Source organism: Homo sapiens, chromosome 1 (genome assembly GCF_000001405.40).
Source record: "Homo sapiens chromosome 1, GRCh38.p14 Primary Assembly".
NCBI lineage: Eukaryota > Metazoa > Chordata > Mammalia > Primates > Hominidae > Homo > Homo sapiens.
Genome location: NC_000001.11, coordinates 144,237,994 through 144,259,901, shown reverse-complemented (window position 1 = coordinate 144,259,901; position 21,908 = coordinate 144,237,994). Strand labels below are relative to the sequence as shown.

Genomic DNA, 21,908 nt, shown 5'->3' with positions numbered 1-21,908 from the left:
GGCACAGAGGGAAGTAACTGGAGCTCCCTTTGGGTACCACAGTAAACACTGGTGGTGGAATGCCATTGTCTTATCTTCTGAGAAGTAGCAGGAGGCTTCCATATTCTTGTGTTTCGTCAACTGGCTCTAATCATTAAGCTAAATACTCAGCTTATGCAATGCACTTAGCCCAGCTGATTTAGAAGTGGCACCTTCCCAATCAGTCTAGAGCATTTGGGTGGTCACTGTATTCCAACATTCACTACAATTAGGGACTGCCAGAAAAGCCTGATTGTCTTCACTGGTTATTTATAACCAAATCATAGTAGCAATCATTATGTAAAAAGAGCTGTTTCTCCACGCCCCCAACTTCTCTGCCTCGCCCACTCCCAATGTCAGTCCTTCCATTTTATTTAATGCTTCTGGCTGCAGTGATTAGATGTAATGAGAGTGATAGGGCTTTGAGTTGGAAAGTGCTAGAGGCAAAGGAGTTTTGTTATTCTCATCCTTAGAGACACAGAATTCAAGAGGTAAAGGGGACTTAGAGATTTCTAGTCCAGCAGTCCCATGCTATAGATGGGAAAACTTGAGGATCAAAGTTAGGTAGCTTCATGAAAAGGGTATAAATGTGGAAATCCAAGACTCCAGTTCTAACTGAGGCTTAATCACAGATAACGTGTGTGATCTTGAGCTACTTGCTTAGTGTCTCTGGGTCTGAGTTTTCCTTTCTAGAAGATGGGGAAACTAATACGTATTCTGGAGTGATTAGAGATAAGGTGTAGAAGTAGCCAGGTGTATGGCAGCTGGTACAATGGATGCCATAGTAAAGGAGTTGGTGCCAGAATCACTGCATCACTGCTCTCTTCCCATCACTCCACATTGCCTTCAACTAGCTGAGTGCTCCTGCTGAAGAACCGACTCCTATGTTCCCTGGCTCTCAACATGACTCAGTTTGACTTTTCATAAGTGCAGGTAAGCAAGGTAAAATGGGAGTTCTTTTTCCTCTCTACAGATGGAAAATACCAGCAGGAGACCAGCCAAGTAGAGTTGGGGGAAGTCTTGAGACTCACCCTATGGTCTCCATGACCTTTGTCTTAGTTCCTTTGAGCCGCTAAAACAAAATACCTTAGATTGGGTAATTTATAAACAATAGAAGTTTATTTATTTATTTATTTTTTGCAGTTTCAGAGGCTGGGAAGTCTAAGATCAAGGCATCTGCATATTCAGTGTCTTGGTGAGGGCTTGCTCTCTGCTTTAAGATGGTACCTTCTTGCTATGTCCTCATGTGGTGGAAGGGGTCATTTGTTCATCTTCATTTCTTTTATAAGGTCATTAATCCCATTCAGAAGGGCTCTGTCCAAATGCCTTAATCAGCTCCTAAATGCCCCACCTCTTAAAACTATCACCTTGATTAAGTTTCCACATATGAAATTTGGAGAGACCCAGACATTCAGACCATGGTAGTCCCCATCCTCTGATGTGGACCGGCAGCACACTCACAGTCTTACATAAATGACTCTGCAAGTGCAGCTTTCTGAGCTCCATTCCAATTGTCCCTCTCCCCACCTCCATAGCAGTTTTGGTGAAGCCCTATGTAATTTCATGATCTACAGGTAGATTTGATAGATGGTGTTATGGTACCAGGAGTGGGGAGCAGCCAAAACACAAACCCTAAAATATGTGGCTCTAGGGCCAGATGGCAGTCAGCAAGAGAACCGTTACTGAGGGTTGGAAAGATGGTAATCTATGTTATGCAGTGGTGAAATATTTGGTAAAGCTGTTGTAGGAATAACTTGAAGGGCGGATGATGTGCTGAAGGAACTTGAAGCTTAAGGTGAAAAGATGGGGAAACTGAACGTTAGTAACATCCCTTGGTCACTACTGTAAGAAAGAGATGAGCTCAGAAAAGAATTGGCTAAATTGTAAGCAGGTATAAAAAGAAGTAGAGAGGGTCCAGGACTTCTGGAGTCCCATTTCTCCCAGGAAGGGGCCTGCCTCAGTATCCATGCCAAGCTCAGTTACTGGCTGGGAGCTGCTTGTGGGAATCACTTCCCTCTGAGTGTGACTCAGTCATACTCTAAAGTACGACATGACTCTTCCTTGCAGAGATCTGGACATATACAGTGTCCAGTCACACGGACAGATGCAGCTTCTGTGGTCACTCTAGATGATGCTAACTTCCTTATGCTGGCATGCTATCCTCATAATGCAGGCTGCAGTTAACTATTTTAAAAGTTAACATGGTAAGCAGAAGTGATTCCTCTTTGGCTTGAACATGGACTGTTTGGAGGGCACTGGAGAGAACCAAAAGAGTGACAAGTTTTGAGTGCTTGTCATGTAAGAAACAGGAAAGAAAATGCGGCATAATTACCTGTCTCTGGGGAGAGGAGCAGGATTGCTTTTGTTCCTCCAAGTAGGCAGAAACAGAAACACTGGGCAGCTGGTACAGAGAGACGGGTTTTGAGAGGCAGTACTCTCCCAGCAGCACTGTCTAGCCAGCTGTCTGCCCGAGTCTGGGGGTGCTAGTGCCTTCTGCAGGATTACCCTATAGGAGGCATTTCCAGGGTGCTGATGTGGACTCATGCCAGAGGTGACAGTGTCAGCCATCCATGGTGGAAACACAAAAATAAGGACACTTAGTGAGCTTGGCCCAAGCTATTACATTTTCATCTCTGAGGTTATATTTCCCACACCTTTACCGTTGAATGTCCTTTTATCAAAATAGTAGTCATTGTTTAAGTGATATCTCTATGTTAAACCTTACATTTTTTTCTTTTTAATTTTATTGATTTGTGAAATCCTAAAGTCTTGAAACTCCTAAGCTAGCTGACTTTTCAGATCTGGGATCTGTTTTATCTCTAAATGATTATGATTCCTGACTTTTTTTTGATATAAACACTCAACTGCCATTAAGAGTGCTCATGATAGGGAATAGATGCTGCATTTGTTCATGTTTAAATACTGAGGCTCAAGTACCTGTCAGAAGGAGTTTATTATATTTTCTAGGCTCTCTGAAATTACATCAGAAAAATGTGAATTAGAATATAACCCATAAATAATATCTGGCCACATGCAAAGTAATTGAAGATCAATTGAAATAGCTATTGGATTAAGAAATAGAGACTGAGGTAAATTTACAGGGTCAGGGAGGATCTAAGGAGGAAGCATTGACACTGGAGCCCAGGGACCTGGGATTACAGAACAGATTCTACCAGTGCTAACTTACTGCTCCAAAGAAAATATCAATTCTGCTCATCCGCAGGTACTATTCATCAAGAAAGGGATTACAAGTTCACAAATGTGTTCAAAATGTACCCATACTTCGACATATTAATGAAGTAATCACATTCTACACATGACTACTCCATATGGAATACTGGGGTGGGGTGTTCCAAATAAAGAGACTGAGGATTTCTCATGAGAACTCAGTGTCTGCTAGAAAATATCTAAGTAAAATATTTTACTTATGTGGAAGGTGTGGATGTTTGTGCATCACAAGTTTCAAGAATCCCTAAAATGTACAATGGAGATGAGGAGAAAATATCAGAATTTCCCAGCACCAGAAATGAGGCAAGAAAAAATTCAGAGGAGTTGTAAATGTGAAAAGCCAATGGCTGGTCACACAGCAACATTGATAACCTTGTGCCAGGACAACTAGAATAAATACATAAACATACAGATTGAAAGTATTTCCAATATTAGATCTCCCTCATGTGAGAACTAAATTATAAAGATTGAAGCATATAAGAAAATAAGCTACCAGAATTTAGGCTACCAGAATAAATTCGATTACACATAAATTTCTGATATTGAAATTCTCACAAATGTTTAAGTTGGTAGTGGAAGACAAAGGACATATAATCTTGGGAGTCCTAGGGCCCTGCCCGCTGCCAGTTCCTCCATGCTACTACAGCTGATGCTTTCTGGAAAGCAACACCTCCTGGCAGGAGGCCAACCAGCACAAATATAGAGCATTAAACCACTAAAGCTAAGGACCCTCACAGAGTCTATTGCACCCTTCACCACCTCCACTGGAACAGGCGCCGGTATCCATGGCTGAGAGACCCATAGATGGTTCACATCACAGGGCTCTATGCAGACAACCCCTAGTACCAGCCCAAAGCCAGGTAGACCTGCTGGGTGGCTAGACCCAGAGGAGAGACAACAATCAATGCACTTTGGCTCACAGGAAGCCATGCCCATAGGAAAAGTGGGAGAGTACTACATCAAGGGAACACTCTGTGTGACAAAAGAGTCTGAACAACAGTCTTCAGCCCTAGACCTTTCCTCTGACAGAGTCTACCTAAATGAGAAGGAACCAGGAAACCAACCCTGGTAATCTGACAAAACAAGACTCTTCAACAACCCCCAAATAATCACACCAGTTCATCACCAATGGATCCAAACAAAGAAGAAATCACTGATTTATCTGAAAAAGAATTCAGGTTAGTTATTAAGCTAATCAGGGAGGGGCCAGAGAAAGGTGAAGCCCAATGCAAGAAAATCCAAAAAATGATACAATAAGTAAAGGGAGAAACAGTCAAGGAAATAGCTTAAATAAAAAATAATAATAATAATAAAAAATCAGGAAACTTTGGACGCATTTTTAGAAATGTGAAATTCTCTGGAAAGTCTCAGCAATAGAATTGAACAAGTAGAAGAAAGAAATTCAGAATTCGAAGACAAGGTCTTTGATTTAACCCAATCCAATAAAGACAAAGAAGAAAGAACAAGAAAATATGAGCAAAGCCTCCAAGGAGTCTGGCATTCTGTTAAACGATGAAACCTAAGATTAATTGGTGTACCTGAGGAAGAAGTGAATTCTAAAAGCCAGGAAAATGTATTTGGGGGAATAATCAAGGAAAACTTCTGTGGCCTTGTGAGAGACCTAGACATCCAAATACAAGGAGCACTAATAACACCTGGGAAATTCATCACAAAAAGATCTTAGCCTAGGCACATTGTCATTAGGTTATCCAAAGTTAAGACAAAGGAAATAATCTTAAGGGCTGTGAGACAGAAGCACTAGGTAACCTATAAAGGAAAACCTATCAAACTAACAGCAGATTTTGCAGCAGAAACTTTACAAGCTAGATGGGATTGGGGCACTTTCTTCAGCCTCCTCAAACAAAACAATTATCAGCCAAGAATTTTGTATCCAGCAAAACTAAACATCATATATGAAGGAAAGATACAGTCATATTCAGACAAACAAATGCCGACAGAATTTGCCGTTACCAAACCAGCACTGTAAGAACTGCTAAAAGGAGCTCTAAATCATGAAACAAATTCTGGAAACACATCAAAACAGAACTTCATTAAAGCATAAATCACACAAGAGCTATAAAACAAAAATACAAGTTAAAAAGCAAAAACAACAAAAAAAAACAAGTATAGAGGCAACAAAGAGCATGATGAAAGCAATGGTACCTCACTTTTTAATACTAATGTTGGTTGTAAATGGCTTAAATGCTCCACTTACAAGATACAGAACCACAGAATGGATAAGAACTCACCAACTAACTATCTGCTGCCTTCAGGAGACTCACCTAACACATAATGACTTACATAAACTTAAGGAAAGTGGTAGAAACAGGCATTTCATGCAAATGGACACCAAAAGCGAGCAGCAGTAGCTATTCTCATATGAGACAAAACAAACTTTAAAGCAACAGTAGCTAAAAGAGACAAACACAGACAGTATATAATGGTAAAGGTCTCATCCAACAGAAAAATATGACAATCCTAAACATACATGAACCTAACACCGGAGCTCCCAAATTTATAAAACAATTACTAGTAGACATAAGAAATGAGATAGACAGCAACACAATAATAGTGGGGGACTTCAATACTCCACTGACAGCACTAGACAGGTCATCAAGACAGAAAGTCAACAAAGAAACACTGGATTTAAACTATACTTTGGAACTAATGGACTTAGATATATACAGAACATTTCATCAACAATCACAGAATACACATTCTATTCCACAGCACATGGAATTTTCTCCAAGATAGACCATATGATAGGCCATAAAACGAGTCTCAATAAATTTAAGAAAATTGAAATTGTATCACGCACTCTCTCAGATCACAGTGGAATAAAACTGAAAATCAACTCCAAAAGGAATCTTCAAAACCATGCAAATACATGGAAATTAAATAACCTGCTCCTGAATGAGCATTGGGTGAAAAATGAAATCAAGATGGAAATGTAAAAAATTTCTTCGAACTGGATGACACAACCTATCAAGACCTCTGGGATACAGCAAAGGCAGTGCGAAGAGGAAAGTTTGTAGCCCTAAACACCTACGTCAAAAAGTCTGAAAGAGCACAAACAGACAATCTAAGTTCACATCTCAGGGAACTAGAGAAGCAGGAACAAGCCAAACCCAATCCCAGCAAACAAAGGAAATAACCAAGATCAGAGCAGAACTAAATGAAATCGACACAACAACAACAACAACAACAACAAATACAAAACATAAATAAAACAAAAAGTTGGTTATTTGAAAAGATAAATAAAACTGATAGACCATTAGCAAGATTAACCAAGAAAAGAAGAGAGAAAATCCAAATAACCTCACTAAGAAATGAAACAGGGGATATTACAACTGACACTACTGAAATATTAAAGATTATTCAAGGGTACTATGAACACCTTTTGGCACATAAACTAGAAAACCTAGGAGAGTTGGATAAATTCCTGGAAAAATACAACCCTCCTAGCTTAATCAGGAAGAAGTAGATACCTCAAGCAGACCAATAAAGCAAGCAGCAAGATCGAAATTGTAATTTTAAAATTACCAACCAAAAAAACCGAGGACCAGACAGATTCACAGCAGAATTCTACCAGACATTCAAAGAATGTCTTCTTTCATTCAAAGAAGAAATGATACCAATCCTTTCACACTATTCCACAAGACAGAGAAAGAAGAAAGCCTCCCTGATTCATTCTATGAAGCCAGCATCACCCTAATACCAAAACCATGAAAGGACATAACCAAAAAAGAAAACTACAGACCAATATCCTTGATGATCACAGATGCCAAAATCCTTAACAAAATACTATCTAACTGAATCCAACAACATATCAAAAAGATAATCCACCATGATCAAGTGGGTTTCATACCAGTGATACAGGAATGGTTTAACATATGCAAGTCAATAAATGTGATATACCAAATAAACAGAATTAAAAAAAAACTCAAATGATTATATCAACAGATGCAGAAAAAGCATTCAACAAAATCTAGCATTGCTTTATGATTAAAGCTCTCAGCAAAATAGGCATACAAGGGACATACCTTAATGTAATAAAAGCCGTCTATGACAAACCCACAGCCAACATAATACTGAATGGGGAAAAGGTGAAAGCATTCTCTCTGAGAACTAGAACAAGATGAGGAGCCTACTCTCACCAGTCCTCTTCAACATAGTACTGGAAGTGCTTGCCAGAACAATCAGACAAAAGAAGGAAATAGAGGAAATCCAAATCGGTAAAAAGGAAGTCAAACTATCACTGGTTGCTGACGATATGATCTTTCGCCTTGAAAACCCTATGGACTCCTCTAGAAAGCTTCTAGAACTGATAAAAGAATTCAGCCAAGTTTCCAGATACAAGATTAATGTACACAAATCAGTAGCTCTTCTATACATCAACAGCTACCAAGCAGAGAATCACATCAAGAACTCAACCCCTTTTACAATAGCTGCAAAAACAAACAAACAAACAAACAAACAAAAAACTTAGGAATATACCTAGCAAAGGAATCAAAAGACCTCTACGATGAAAATTACAAAACACTGCTGAAAGAAATCATAGTTGGAGCCAAGCATGTTGGCACATGCGTATAATCCCAGCTACTCGGGAAGCTGAGGCAGGAGAATCGCTTGAACCTGGGAGGCAGAAGTTGTAGTGAGCCGAGATCACACCATTGCACTCCCACCTCAGCGACAAGAGCAAAACTCCCTCTGAAGAAAAAAAAAAAAAAAGAAAGAAAGAAAAGAAATCATAGATGACACAAACAGATGGAAACGCATCCCCATGCTCGTGGATGGGTAGAACCAATATTGTGAAAATTACCATTCTGTTAAAGGCAATCTACAAATTCAATGCAATCCCCATCTGAATACCACCATCATTCTTCACAGAATTACAAAAACAATTCTAAAATTAATATGGAACCAAAAGAGAGCCATGTAGCCCAACCAAGGCTAAGCAAAAAGAACAAACCTGGAGGCATCACAGTACTTGATTTCAAACTGTACAATAAGGCCATAGCTACCAAAACAGCATGGTACTGGTTTAAAAATACGCACATAGACTAATGTAACAGAAGAGAGAACCCATAAATTAACCCAAATACTTACAGCCGACTGATCTTCGACAAAGTAAGCAAAAAATAAAGTGGGGAAAGGACACCCTTTTCAACATATGATGTTGGGATAATTGGCGAGCCATATGTAGGGGAATAAAACTGGATTCTCATCTCTCACCTTATACAAAAATCTACTCAAGATGGATTAAAAACTTAAACCTAATTCCTGAACTATAAAAATTCTAGAAGATAACACTGGATAAACCCTTCTAGACATTGGCATAGGCAAGGATTTCATGACCAAGAACCCAAATGCAAATGCAATAAAAACAAAGATAAATAGCTGGGACTTAATTAAACTAAATAGCTTTTGCATGGCAAAGGGAACAGTCAGTAGAGTAAATAGACAGCCAACAGAGTGGGACCCCTGACCCTGACCCCTAACCTTAACCCTAATCCCTAACCCTAACCCCTAACCACAACTCTCCCCCTCCCCCTAACCCAACCCTAACCCCTAATCCCTAACCCCCAACCTCTCTTAACCCCTAACTCTAAATGTTGACTCCTAACCCCTAACTCTGACCCCAACCCCTATCTCCAACCCCTAACCCTAAACTTAACCCCTAACACCAACCTTAAGCCTAGGTTCGTTACTACGTTTGTATTGACTATGTCAATGTTGATTATTATGATCGCTGTCTTAGGACTGCACGGCAGCGAGGGGATTGTGGATCTTATATTAATGTTTTTGTGTCGAGGCAGTGCATTAGCACTACAGGTGCTTGTTACATGAGCAAGGGGGGTGTCATCTTTTGAGTGCCATGTCTGCATTAGGAATGCTGCATTTGTCTTCCGAGGCTGCGGTGTGGATCTCGCACTGCGGCCGCCTCACCTTGGCTGGGGAGAACCTCGGTGGGCAGGATTCAGAGGGGCTTTTGGTTTCCCGTTTTCCACACTGAACCCTTCTATCTGGTTTCTGACCCTGATTATTCAGGGCTGCAAACAGGAAGGATTTTATTCACCGTCGATGCGGCCCCGAGTTGTCCCAAAGCGAGGCAGTGCCCCCAAGGTCCGTGCTGAGGAGAACGCTGCTCTGCCTTCGCGGTGTCCCCCGGGTCTGTGCTGAGCAGAACGCAGCTCCGCCCTCCCGGTGCCCCCGGCCCGCCCGGGTCTGTGCCAAGGAGAACACTGCTCCGCCTTCGCTGTATCTCCGAAGTCTGTGCACAGGAGAACTCAGCTCCGCCCTCGCGATGCTCTCCGAGTCTGTGCTGAGCACAACGCAGCTCCGCCCTCGCAAAGGCACAGCGCGGGCGCAGGCGCCCAGAGGCGCACAGGAGACCTCAGGCCCAGACTCCACTCCCCAGCTGTGAAAGGGTAAGAATTGAGGGTGGCTGAGGCTCGGGGTTGTTCAGGGCGGGGTGGGCTCTGGACCCAGCAGGCCCGGCACCCAGGTCAGGGATCCAGGGGAGGCCAGGTGGGGCGAAGGCCAAGAAGGGGCCGGGGCTGGTCAGGAAGGGCTCCTGGTGACCAGAACACTTTGCGTGAGCCAGCGTGGGAGGAAGGTGGGCTGGATGAGCCAGGGAGGCGCCGGGAGGGGCCTTGGCAGAGGCGACCCCCTCCGTCAGCCCCCAGGCCACTGAACCCTGGGTAGCAAGAACCGGCAGGGGAGGCTGCAGACGGAGGAGTGGAGGCTCCTTGGCTTTGGGGGCTCTGAGCAGAAGCATCTAGGGGGTCCCTCAAGAGACCCCCAAATGCTGCCCCATGGTGAGAAAACAGGGAGAGGCCCTGCAGGGACCCCCCGGGGTTACAAAGGGCTGCCACTGTGAGAAGGCAACGCTGCTGGCTGGGGCTGGGCTTTCTACCTCACCAAGCCTCTTCCCACCCAAAGGGCCCAGAGAGGGGCAGCTGCCCCCCCAGCGGGCACAGCACCTCCTCCCTGTGTGATGGGGTGGGGCCCACAGTCTCCTTTCTCGCGGCCTGCCTGGGCTGACCCTGGGTCCCAGCTCGGCCATGGGGCTTCGGCATGTAAAGCCCTTGGGGGGCAGAGCCTCCCGCCCCCGCCAGCTTCTGGCTCTCTGTGTCGCCCCCAGCACTGGACTGGTGCCTTGGAGGGAGGCTCCGCCCTCCTCCACATCAACCCGCTGAGGAGTTCTGTCTTCCCAGGGTTGTGAGGGAAACCAGCTCTGCAGGCCTATGTCCAAGTCTAGGCACCGCCTCCTCCAGGGAGCCTTCCAGACCTGATCTGTGTGGCAGAGGCCCAGAAGGACCTGGGTGTGGGGATCCTAGAGGGAGGCGGGGGACCCAGCGTGAGGAGAGAGGGTCCCAGTGCTTCCTCCTGAGTGAGGGTCACCCATCTGACTCCGGCTGCACAGAGCCACTCCCTCTAAGCGCTCCTGCTCTCTGCCTTCCTGCATTAGCTCTTGCCTGTACCCGGCCCAGCAAACCCCTGCTCATCTTTCAGACCCAAGTTCAAGGCCCCCTCCCACTCCGGGTGGCTCATCACCTGGCCTCCCCAGGCAGAGAGGCTAGGCTCCTGCTCACTGGGGCGTCTCCCTTGCCCACTGGCACGGGACTACAAGGAAAGGGGTTGACCCCCACCCTCCCCCGCCATGCCCAGGAGGGTGCAGACACAACTGGGAAGGTGCTAGAGACCCCGGGGGGAGGCTGGGCCAGCACCAGGCATTGGGGGGCAGGTTCCCGTCTCTACACCCCAGCCCCAGGCGGACAGCGCGTGCCCCTCCCGCTGCCCCACCTGTCACCCACCTGCTGGCCCCGGGCTGTCTCTGCTCCTGGCTCCCCTCCCAGCTGCGTCCCCAGCTGCCTCTCCAGGGAGGAGTGACAGCTGGCCTGTGCCACACCCTCGAGCCCCCCCGGACTACCCCCTCCCTGGGGCAGGACCCCTGCCTGTGGCACAACCAAGGGGCCTGCTGATGGGGGCTCATGTGAGCAGTGCCCCAGCTGTGGGTGTGGGTGCTGCCAGCTGCCACCGCCTTTGCCCTGGTTTCCCAGATAGACCCCGACCCACACTCCGAAGCTGTATCATGAACGCTGTGGTGGGCGGCTGGTGGGGAGCGGGGTTGCCGTCCCACTACCCTCTGGAAGCCTCAGCCATGAAGGGCCCCTGTGGGCACCTTTTCCCGGCACACGGTGCTGTGTTTCTCCACTCTTGGGCTCTGCAGTGACTTGAGGGGTCAAGTCTATGATCCCACGGGAGGCTGGGCTAATGAGGGGACCAGAGACCTCAGTGCTGTGCAGGGAGTCCTGAACCACCCTGGTGGAAGGCCCAGCCCAACTCCCCAGTCCTCCCGCCAGCTCCCTGTGGTGTCCAGGAGACCTGTGGTCAGGCCTGGAGGAGAAGCTCCTCCTCCCCTCGACATCCTCCCTGCAGCCCTTGCTCTTCACCAGAGCCTCCTGACTCCCCAGGACCCCAGAGAGGACTGACCCTCTCCAGCCGACCTCTGGGCTCAGGACAGCTGGGCGGGGCAGCCACAGGAGCTGCCTGTAGGGAGCAGAGTCAGGACGGGGACCGAGCCGGACACCCATTCTGGAAGTGTCTGCACTTCCAGGCAGGGGAAGGACGGCAGTGGGTAGCTGGGAGTGCTGGGCCGAAGATGGGCATTGTCAGGCCCTCAGTGGGGACTGGGAGGTAGAGGTGGGGAGGTCTGTGGAGGAAGGAGAAGAAGGGCCAGTGTCCCGAGTTGGGGGTGGTTGGCAGTGGACGAGGCCGACAGGAACAGACCTGAGCTTGGGGAGCTCCACTCAGAACGAGGCATCCTTCAGGGTTCTGTGCATACTGGTGTCCCTGGCTGGGGGCCGGGCCCCGAAGTGGAGCCTGGGACTGTGAGGGTGGGGGGGGTGTGCTGGGGTGGGAGGTGGATGGAGCCCCCCCCCCACCGCCTGGCCGCTTGGGCTGAACCTTGGACTTCGGAGCCGGAACAGACATAGGAAATGGCCTAACTGCATTTGCGCAGGAACACCAAATCCCTCGCAGCTGCACGGGGCTGAGCCAGGGCCACGGGCGGGGTCGGCCATCCCAGAGTCCTGACAGCTCCGTGGTGTATGCCAAGGGGCCTGGGCCGCTGACCGAGGGGCGCCTTTCCCAGGCCAGAGGCCCCCACCCCACCCCAGGAGAGCTGCCCCCCTTTCAGTTCCCAGAACGGAGCCCGGCTGTGGAATAGTGATGCGGTGAGGTCATGGGGAGGGGGCCCGCATGACTCATATCCTGGGGTAGGGGAAAGGGAGGAGACGGAGAAGGGGCCCAGAGGCCTCCACGTCCTCAGCTCTGCTGGGTCAGAGGCCAGGGGCTGGCGGGGCTTCTCCCCAGCACTGGGTTTTAGGGGAGACACCAGGAGATGCTTACTCTGCATCCCCACTCTGTCCCCCAGGCCCCTAGCCAGGGAGAGCTCAGTCAGAGTGATCCTCCAGGGGCCCAGCTCTGCATGGATGATGTTCCCAGAGTACACACCTGGGCCTCGTGCCAGGGCCGGCACCGCCGTTGTCAGGGCTATGGCAAGGCAAACAGTCAATGTTTGCCTCACTAAAGTGAGGCTGCAGCACCCTGAAGGGATCCCTGGAGGGGGACGTGGTCCCCTTGTTCCCAAGCTTGTCTGCACATGCACGTGGATGTCAAGGGTTCCCGTGTGTGAGCACGTGCATATTTGTATGTGCATGGGGTGCGGGCATGTGTGCCTGTGTGGCCGGAGCGTGGGCTCGTGGAGAATGTGTGTGAGTTGGGTGTGCACCTGCATGTGCCCCAGGCCTAGGGAGTCCCGCGCCCGGCCGCACTCCATGTGTTGGGCATGAGCTGTGAGCAGAGTGAGGGCCTTTATGGGGCTGTTGGGGCCCGGACTCGTTGCCCTTAGGGGTGGACCTAAGGAAACGTGTGCACACGGGCTTCTGGGGTCTCTGTGCCAATGTGTGCTTCCAAGCCACGCCTCCCCTATGGCTTGGTGGAGGGGGTCTGTGGAGCTGGAGTGAGGGCCCTGGACCCATTGGAAGCCCAGGTCCAAGGAGGAGCTTGGGCTCCATCTCATGCCCCAGGCCCAAGGACACACACCCCAGCTGAGACCTTGCTCACATGGAGGGGCTGGGACATGGGAACATGGGGAGCAACATGGCCAGGCTTCTCCTCCATGGAAACCCTCCACCTCCTCAATACTCTGCCCCAGCTCTGCGCCGCCCTCCATTTGGAGGGGCTGGGTCGTGAGTGGGGGCGTGAGTGAGCATGAGGGCCCCTGCACCCCAGGCTCTGCCTCCCCACGTGGAACGAGGCCCAGCAGCCCCCAGCCAGGTGGCTACTACTGCATTCAATCAGTGCCCCTCCATCTAACAAATACTCCCTCATATAATCAGTACTCCTCCATCCAATCAATATTCCTTCATCAACACCTTTCTATACAACCAATAGTCCTCCATCTAATCAATGCTCCTCCATCCAACCAATACTCTGCAATTTAACCACTGTCCCTCCATCCATTCAATGTCCCTCCATCCATCCCATGGTCCCCCAGCCCTACCCCATGAGCAGCATGGAGGCAGACCCACATCTGTCTTGTGCGCCATCATCTCCCTGATGCTCTTCAGGAAAGGGAGGTGTCTCACAATTGCATTGAATGGAGGAAGGCACATCTTTCCAGTGATCCCCACTCTAGGGCTGCATTGGGAAATCGCTCCCAGGGAAAACACAAACACAAAGCAGAGGGTTGCCCAGTGTGACCCTCTGATGTGACCACGGTGGCTGTCCACTAAGGTAATCCTGATGCTTTTCCTCCTCTGCAGACTGCTGGCCAGACCCCCAAGCTAGCCCGCCAGGCCTCCATAGAGCTGCCCAGCATGGCTGCATCCAGTACCAAGAGTTGGTGGGAGACGGGTGAGGTATAGGCTCAGTCTGCGGCCAAGACTCCGTCCTGCAAGGTAAGGTCCCCTCCAGGGGCAAGGCTGGGCTGCAGAGCCAGCACTGGGGAGTTTAGTAGCAGGCCAGGTTTCCTTGTTAAGACAAGCGTGGGACTGTCCAGGATGAATGTGGGCAGACAGAACCCTGAGGTATTGCAGTAGGGTTGGGTTCACCCTTGCTGGTGTAGAAGGCTGTGTTGTCCGAGTGGAGGTGGATGGCACCTTTATTCCTTTCCCTGCTTCTTCCACTGGGATCGCACAGAAAAAGTTTTGGTAGGCAGATCCCAGGCCCCCTGGCCAGGTAAGGCAAGGCAGGAGAGAAGGGCCCAGGGCTTCTACTCCCCAAGATCCAGGGGTCTGCCCTTGTGACATACCCTTCTGCTGCCCCCAGGATATTGTGGCTGGAGACATGAGCAAGAAAAGCCTCTGGGAGCAGAAGGGAGGCTCCAAGACCTCATCAACAATTAAGGTAGAGCCTAAATGTGGTTGGTGCAGGCAGGAAATATTAACTTATTTCATTGTCACACGAAACCAGAAGACATAAAACAGTTAAAATAGGCCAGGCACAGTGGCTCACACCTGTAATCCCAGCACTTTGGGAGGCCGAGGTGGGTGGATCACGAGGTCAGGAGGAGACCATCCTGGCCAACGTGGTGAAACTTGGTCTATACTAAAAATACAAAAAAAAAAAAAAAAAAAAATTAGCCGAGCGCAGGGGCACATGCCTGTAATTCCAGCTACTTGGGAGGCTGAGGCAGGAGAATCACTTGAACCAGCAAGTTGGAGGTTGCAGTGAGCCGAGCTCGCACCCTGCACTCCAGCCTGGCGACAGAGGGAGACTCAGTCTCAAAAAACAAACACACAAGCAAATAAAAAAAACAAAACAACTTGACACACTTAGAAAATGAAGGTTTGTGCTATTGGTTTTCTTTTATTTTAGAAAAACAAAGCATTGTTTAAATATTTCTTACAAGTACAAATATAATTTAAATTTAATAAATGTTCAAAAATATCTGTAATTAAGTTTCATTCAGCAGACATATGTCTAATAGAGAACTTGCTAAGTAAGATATAAAGGATGATTACATGAAAAAATCACAAAATTGTCAGTAAGAGTCTTAAAAGTCAGTGATAGGACAGTAGTTAAAAGATATCAAATAGTTATTTATTCTTAAACATTAAACAGGATATTAATAGTTTTAATAATCTTGAAGTTTGACAACACTGTGAAAACATTACAGACCACTTTTATTTATGAAAATACGTGCAAATAGCAAACACCAGTTGGGCTTAAGGCTGCTACTTACTTACCCAGTAAGTGACAAAGCTGGAATTCAAACCAGGTTTGAGCTATACCACTACTACCCTTGAAAAGGTTTCATTACACTCAGCTTTCCTTAATTTCTTAAACTCTTTTTTTTTTTTTTGATTGAGACAGAATCTTGCTCTATTGCCCAGGCGGGAGTGCAGTGACATGATATTGGCTCACTGCAACCTCTGCCTCCCAGATTCAAGCAATTCTCATGCCTCAGCCTCCCAAGAAGCTGTGATTACCCGTGTGCATCACCACACCTGGCTAATTTTTGTGCTTTTAGCAGAGGTGGTGTTTTGCCATGTCAGCGAGGCTGATCTTGAACTCCTGACCTCAGGTGATCCGATCCGCCCGCCTCGGCCTCCCAAAATGCTGATATTACTGGTGTGAGCCACCACTCCTGGCCAATTTCTTAAACTTTTGATTATACTAAATATGGTCCTTCTGCGTGATAACACTGTTTTTCCTTTTATAAAATTAATCTCTTAAAATACTTTAAAATTCAAAGTACACTTTTTAGATTCTTTAAAATACTCTTTGCCATGTTCATGGCCTTTAGATGTGTGATCATAGCCTATTTGCTTTTCATTGACTTAGTTTCATATTTCTTTGCCTTTTTCCCCCTACTTTTCCTTATAGAACTATTTACTAGTAATGAAATCATTTTAAAGAATACACTTTTTATTCCACCTGCTAACTGTTAAGAGAATGTTTTATAATCACTCTGGTCATGGCCTGTAAGTTTCTTTTCTAAACTATCTTTTCAGGATACATATTTACTAACTTGCTTTCAAATGAATATGGTCATGTCTATGCAGCAAGTTTCTTTTCTTTCTTCTTTTCTTCTTCTCTTTTTTCTTTTTCTTTTCTTTCTTTTTTAAGGCAAGATTTCGCTCTGTAGCCCAGGTTGAAGTGCAGTTGTAGAAACATGACTCACTGTAGCCTCAACCTCTCTGGCTCAAGTGATCTGCCCACTTCAGCCTCCCAGCCAAGTAGCTGGGACTGCAGGTGTGCACCACCCTGCTCCACTAAGTTATTTAGTTTTTTGTAGACATGGATTCTCAGTGTGTTGCCCAGGCTAGTCTTGAACTCCTGGGCTCAAGCCATCTTCCTGCCTTGACCTCCCAAAGTGATAAGATTACAGGCTTGAGACATTATGCCCAACCTCTTTTTCTTTTTCTTTCTTTCTTTCTTTTTTTTTTTTTTTTTGAGACAGTCTTGCTCTTGTTGCCCAGGCTGGAGTGCAGTGGCATGATCTTGGCTCACCGCAACCTCCACTTCCCGGGTTCATGCGATTCTCCTGCCTCAGCCTCCCGAGTAGCTGGGATTACAGGCATGCACCACCACACCCAGCTGATTTTGTATTTTTTAGTAGAGACAGGGTTTCTCCATGTTGGTCAGCCTGGTCTTGAACTCCCGACCTCAGGTGATCTGCCCGCCTTGGCCTCCCAAAGTGCTGGGATTACAGGTGTGAGCCACCATTCCTGGCCCTCTTTTTCTTTTTAACTGAGCTTATTTATCTCTTCCCCAGCTTGAGTCTGGGTCCTACTGTCTTGGTCAGAGTATTTTACTATATTGACCTGGACAATTCTGCCATCATGAACCATATTCCAAACCTAAATATGTAAGAACATAGAAAGATTATTTTAGCAGGAGAATTTTAACACACACACACACTTTATTCTGAAAATTTAGCAACAAAATGAAAGGTGAGTTGTGGTAGTTGATGTATCAACAAATAGAAAGAAGAAAGCCTGTAATCTGTTTCAGAATGCTATTTCTGGGGCTGGTAACATCAAAAATAATCAAATTAAGTGTTAACTTGCTGACTCGTAAGATTTTCTCTAATTTAGAAGTTGGAGAACATATATACTCCTATTACCACTTTCCATCTTTCTCAAATATAGTTTTTATAGTTTTCTGTTGGCTTCATCATCGTATTGAAAGATTATTAATCACTTACATATATGTAGTTTTCTGTTAAGTCCTGTTCAATATATTACAAAATTTTGATCTGTGTATGTAATATCAATTAATAAGATGGTGTTAGTTAAATCAGATTACGTGTTCATTCATTAAGTCATTGTTAATACTTCACAGAATATAAATCGTGTTCCATGAGCATGAATTTCTCTCTGAATTCCACATAATTGTCTTAAAATTATGCACCATTTATTGTTAAGAGTGAAAGATTATGTGTCATTTATTGTAGTGGTAGAAGAAAATAAAACCAAAACAGAATCCAATCCAAAAGCTTAGGTTTTTGTTGCTACTACAGTAATTACATCTTCATATACGAAGGACAGCACATTATTACTGTCCAAGAATGGTGCCTCGGACAACTGGTTGCTTACACTGTTTTCAGAGATGAAATAGGAACATAAGCAGGAAGATTTTTGTCTAAATATGAAGCAAGAAAGGCTTAAATGTCTTTATTCAGGGGATTAGGCATCATAAGTTTTTTTTTTTTTGGAGAAATTGTTTTCATGATATTTCCTATCTCCTTTTGTCACTTTGCTTTTGTCGGTAAATTTTACAACTAAATAAGGATTACCAGGCATAAAAAGCAGCAGACAATCATGATGCAAACTGAAAATAATCAATCAAAACTGACCCAGAACTTAAATAGATGTTAAAATTAGCAGAGGAGGACATTAAAACTGTTTTTATACATGTATCTCATATAATCAAAACATTAAATAGAGACATGGGAGATAAACAAGAAAAGCCAAAATCAAACTTTCAAAGACAAAAACATTTGAGATGAAAATTACATTGGATGAACTAAGGCAGATTAGAAACTGCAGAAGAAAAGATTAGCAAACTTGAAGATACAAGAACAGACACTAGCTAAAGTACAAAAAGAAAAAAAAATGTTAAAAAGTGATTTTTAAAAAGCATCAGTGAGCAGTCAGGCAACTTCAAATGGCCTAATAATATGCAGGTAACTGGAGTCCCCAAAGGAGAAAAAAAAGAAAGAGAAAAAAAATACTTGAAGAAACAACTGCTGAAAATGTTCTAGCCATAACAAGACCTATTAACTCACGGATCCAAGAAACTCAGCAAACCCCAAGCACAAGAAACATGAAGAAAATTACACTAAGGGATAACATAATCAAATTGTTCAAAATCAAGGAAACATTATTAATAGCAGGTGTATAAAAAGACATGTTACCTATAGAAGAACAAAGATAAGAACAACATCAGATTTCTTTTGAGAAACAATGCAAGTGAGAAGACAGCGGTACATCTCTAAAGTTCTAGAAGAAAAAAGGCCAACTAGAATTCTATGCCTAGCAAAAATATCTTTCAAAAATGAAGGTGAAATAAAGACACACCAGAAACATAAATAATGAAATAATTCATCACCAGGAGACCTTCACTGCAAGAAATGTTAAAGGATATTCTTCAGAAACAAAATGATGTCAGATGAAAATCTGGATCAATACGAAGGAATAAAGAGCACCAAAGTGGTAACTATATGAGCAAACATCTTTTAAATTTTTTATTATTTAAATCTCTAAGAGATACATGTTTAATAAAAAAACAGCAAAATGTTACAGAGTTTATAACATATGTAAAAGTCAAATGCATGGCAGCAATAGCACAAAGTGCAGGAGGGAGGAAAAGAAAGTAAATGAAGGAATGCTTTTATTATAGATGAAGTGTACAATATTACTTGACCTCTCTAAATGTGCACTATAATCTTAAAGGAACCACAAAAATAATTTTTAAAAATAGGTAAAAGTAATAAAAAGAGGCAAACTGGAATCATAATAAATAATGTAAGCTGGGCACGGTGGCTCACGCCTGTAATCCCAGCACTTTGGGAGGCCAAGGTAAGCGGATCACAAAGTCAGGAGATCGAGACCATCTTGGCCAACATGGTGAAACCCCGTCTCTACTAAAAATACAAAAATTAGCTGGGTGTGGTGGTGCACACCTGTAATCCCAGCTACTCAGGAGACTGAGGCAGGAGAATCGCTTGAACCCAGGAGGCGGAGACTCTAGTGAACCAAGATAGCGCCACTGCACTCCAGCCTGGCAACAGAGCGAGACTCTCTCTCTCAAAAAAAATAAATAAATAAATAAAGTAAAAGCATGCAAGAAGACCAGGTGCAATGGCTCACACCTGTAATCCCAGCACTCTGGGTGGCCAAGGCAGGAGACTCACTTGAGCTCAGGAGTATGAGACCAGCCTGGACAACATAGTGAGACCCCATATATAAAAAAATAAAGTAGCCGGGTATGATGGTGCACAACTGTGGTCTCCACTATTGGGAGGCTGAGGTAGATCACTTGAGCCTAGCAGGTCAAGGCTGCAGTAAGGTATGATCACACCACTGCACTCTAGCTTGGGTGACAGAGCAAGACCCCATCTTGGCAGGTGGGGGATGCAAGAAAAATGCAAGGAACAGATAGAGATAAATAGAAAACATAAGAAGACAATCATATTAAATGTACATGGTCTAAATACCCCCAATTAAAAAGCAGAGGTTTTAGACCATATACATTTAATGTGATTGTCTTCTTATATGTTTTTATCAGAGAAATAAAACTATCACCTTCAAGAAACACAAGTTAAATACAAAGATGCAAACAGGTTAAAATAAAAGAATGGAATAATATATACCATGCTTACGCTAGTCAAGAGAAAGCTAGAATAGAAATACTAATATCAGGCAAAGCATATTTCAGAGTTAAACACAACATTTTTCCACTATTTGCAGTCAAAAGTATCGTTAACACTCTCTTTACTCTGCTCAAAGTTACAGAGTTCTTTTGTATAAACATTAGAACACTTATCACAGCCTGCCTATAATGGAGAATAATTCCATGTTGTATACTATACAACACTCTTACTAAAGTCCATTAGACAGAAATATGTAGCATTTGAGACATCTTCCAATTATAAAACTCTATGCAAACAAAAATTAACAAAGCAGATCTGAGACTATTATATTATCCTGTGAAGGAGGGTCTGTCTGTCTGCACAGTTGGTCCTAGGCTGGCTTCTGAGGACTTGAATTTCAAGAGGGTTCCATAACTGGTAATCATGGTTTACTGTATCTAGACTATGGAAATAATGTGGCTTATCCTGCTATTCTTTTTGTGAGTCTGGAAATTTCACACATGCTAGGCAGAGTACACATATGTGACCCAGCCGAGATAAAACCTGTGTTTCTTGGGAAGTCACATAGGTTGTTGTATTTTCATTAAGGGGGAAAGAAGGTAGTCTGTGTGATCCTCATGGAAGGCACAGCACATAAGGAAGCCGGTACATGGATTTTTCCAGACTCTGTCAGTGTCTTTTGCCATTGAGATCTTTCTACTATATATCCATACTATGTTACAGTAATAAATCTTAGCCATTACAACCCTAAGCTGATCCCATGAGTCCTTCTAGCAAATCTCCAAACATGGAGGCAGTCTTGTGGATCCCTGACACAAATATAGTGTTGTGATCTCTTAAGGTTTATCCTTCCTCTTAAACTATAAAGAGCTGGCTGGGCACAGTGGCTCACGCTTGTAATGCCAGCACTTTGGGAGGCCGAGGCGGGTGGATCACGAGGTCAAAAGATTGAGACCAGCCTAGCCAACATGGCGAAACCCCGTCTCTACTAAAACTACAAAAATTAGCAGGGCGTGGTGGCACACATCTGTAGTCCCAGCTACTCGGGAGGCTGAGGCAGGAGAGTCGCTTGAACCAGGGAGGCAGAGGTTGCAGTAAGCCGAGATCGCACCACTGCACTCCAGCCTGGTGACAGAGGGAAACTTCATCTCAAAAAAAAGAAAGAAACTATAAAGGGCTGGGTGCAGTGGCTCACGCCTATAATACTAGCACCTTGGCAGGCCCAGGTGGGAGAATTGCTTGGGCCCAGGAATTGAGACCAACCTGGACAACAGAGCAAGACCCTGTCTCTTAAAAAAAAAAAAAAAGAAAAGTTGGCCGGGTGTGATGGATCACACCTGTAGTCCCAACACTTTGGGAGGCCGAGGTGGGCAAATCACAAGGTCAAGAGTTCGAGACCAGCCAGGCCAACATGGTGAAACCCCATCTCTATCAAAAAAAATACAAAAAATTCACTGGGCATGGTGGTGGGCACCTGTAATCCCAGCTACTTGGAAGGTTGAGGCAGGAGAATCACTTGAACCTGGGAGGCAGAGGTTGCAGTGAGCTGAGATCACGCCACTGCATTCCAGCCCGGTGATAGTGTGAGACTCCATCTCAAAAAAATAAAAAAGAAAAGAAAAGAAAAGTTAGCCAGGTATGGTGGCATGCATTTGTGATCCCAGCTACTCTAGAGGCTGAGACAGGAGGACTGCTTGAGCCTAAGAAGTCAAGGTTGCAGTAAGCCATGATCATGCTACTGCATTCCAGCTTAAACAACTGAGATGCT

The 21,908-nt window shown here is 45.2% G+C and overlaps 1 long non-coding RNA gene across 7 annotated transcripts in view, besides 1 other annotated feature; it reads left to right on the top strand.

Annotated features, from left to right (window-relative positions):
- The first annotated feature begins 9,604 nt into the window (after positions 1-9,604).
- The window catches only part of LINC02802 (long intergenic non-protein coding RNA 2802), a 42,825-nt gene continuing 30,521 nt past the window's right edge, over positions 9,605-21,908 (top strand). For 4 of the 7 annotated variants that reach the window (NR_199614.1, NR_199617.1, NR_199618.1 and 1 more), the window contains exons 1-2: positions 9,605-9,677; positions 14,082-14,216. This is a non-coding gene — a long non-coding RNA (long intergenic non-protein coding RNA 2802). Of the gene's footprint in view, positions 9,678-14,081; positions 14,217-14,586; positions 14,665-21,908 lie in introns of all 7 variants that reach the window. The other 3 variants (NR_199615.1, NR_199616.1, NR_199619.1) reach the window with 1 other exon arrangement.
- Positions 11,381-11,675: a silencer, noted in NCBI's record as "tiled region #154 duplicate 2; K562 Repressive non-DNase unmatched - State 20:ReprD". NCBI's record gives its function as "represses a minimal TATA promoter and a strong SV40 promoter by Sharpr-MPRA in K562 cells {active_cell/tissue: K562}" and the evidence as "EXISTENCE:reporter gene assay evidence [ECO:0000049][PMID:27701403]".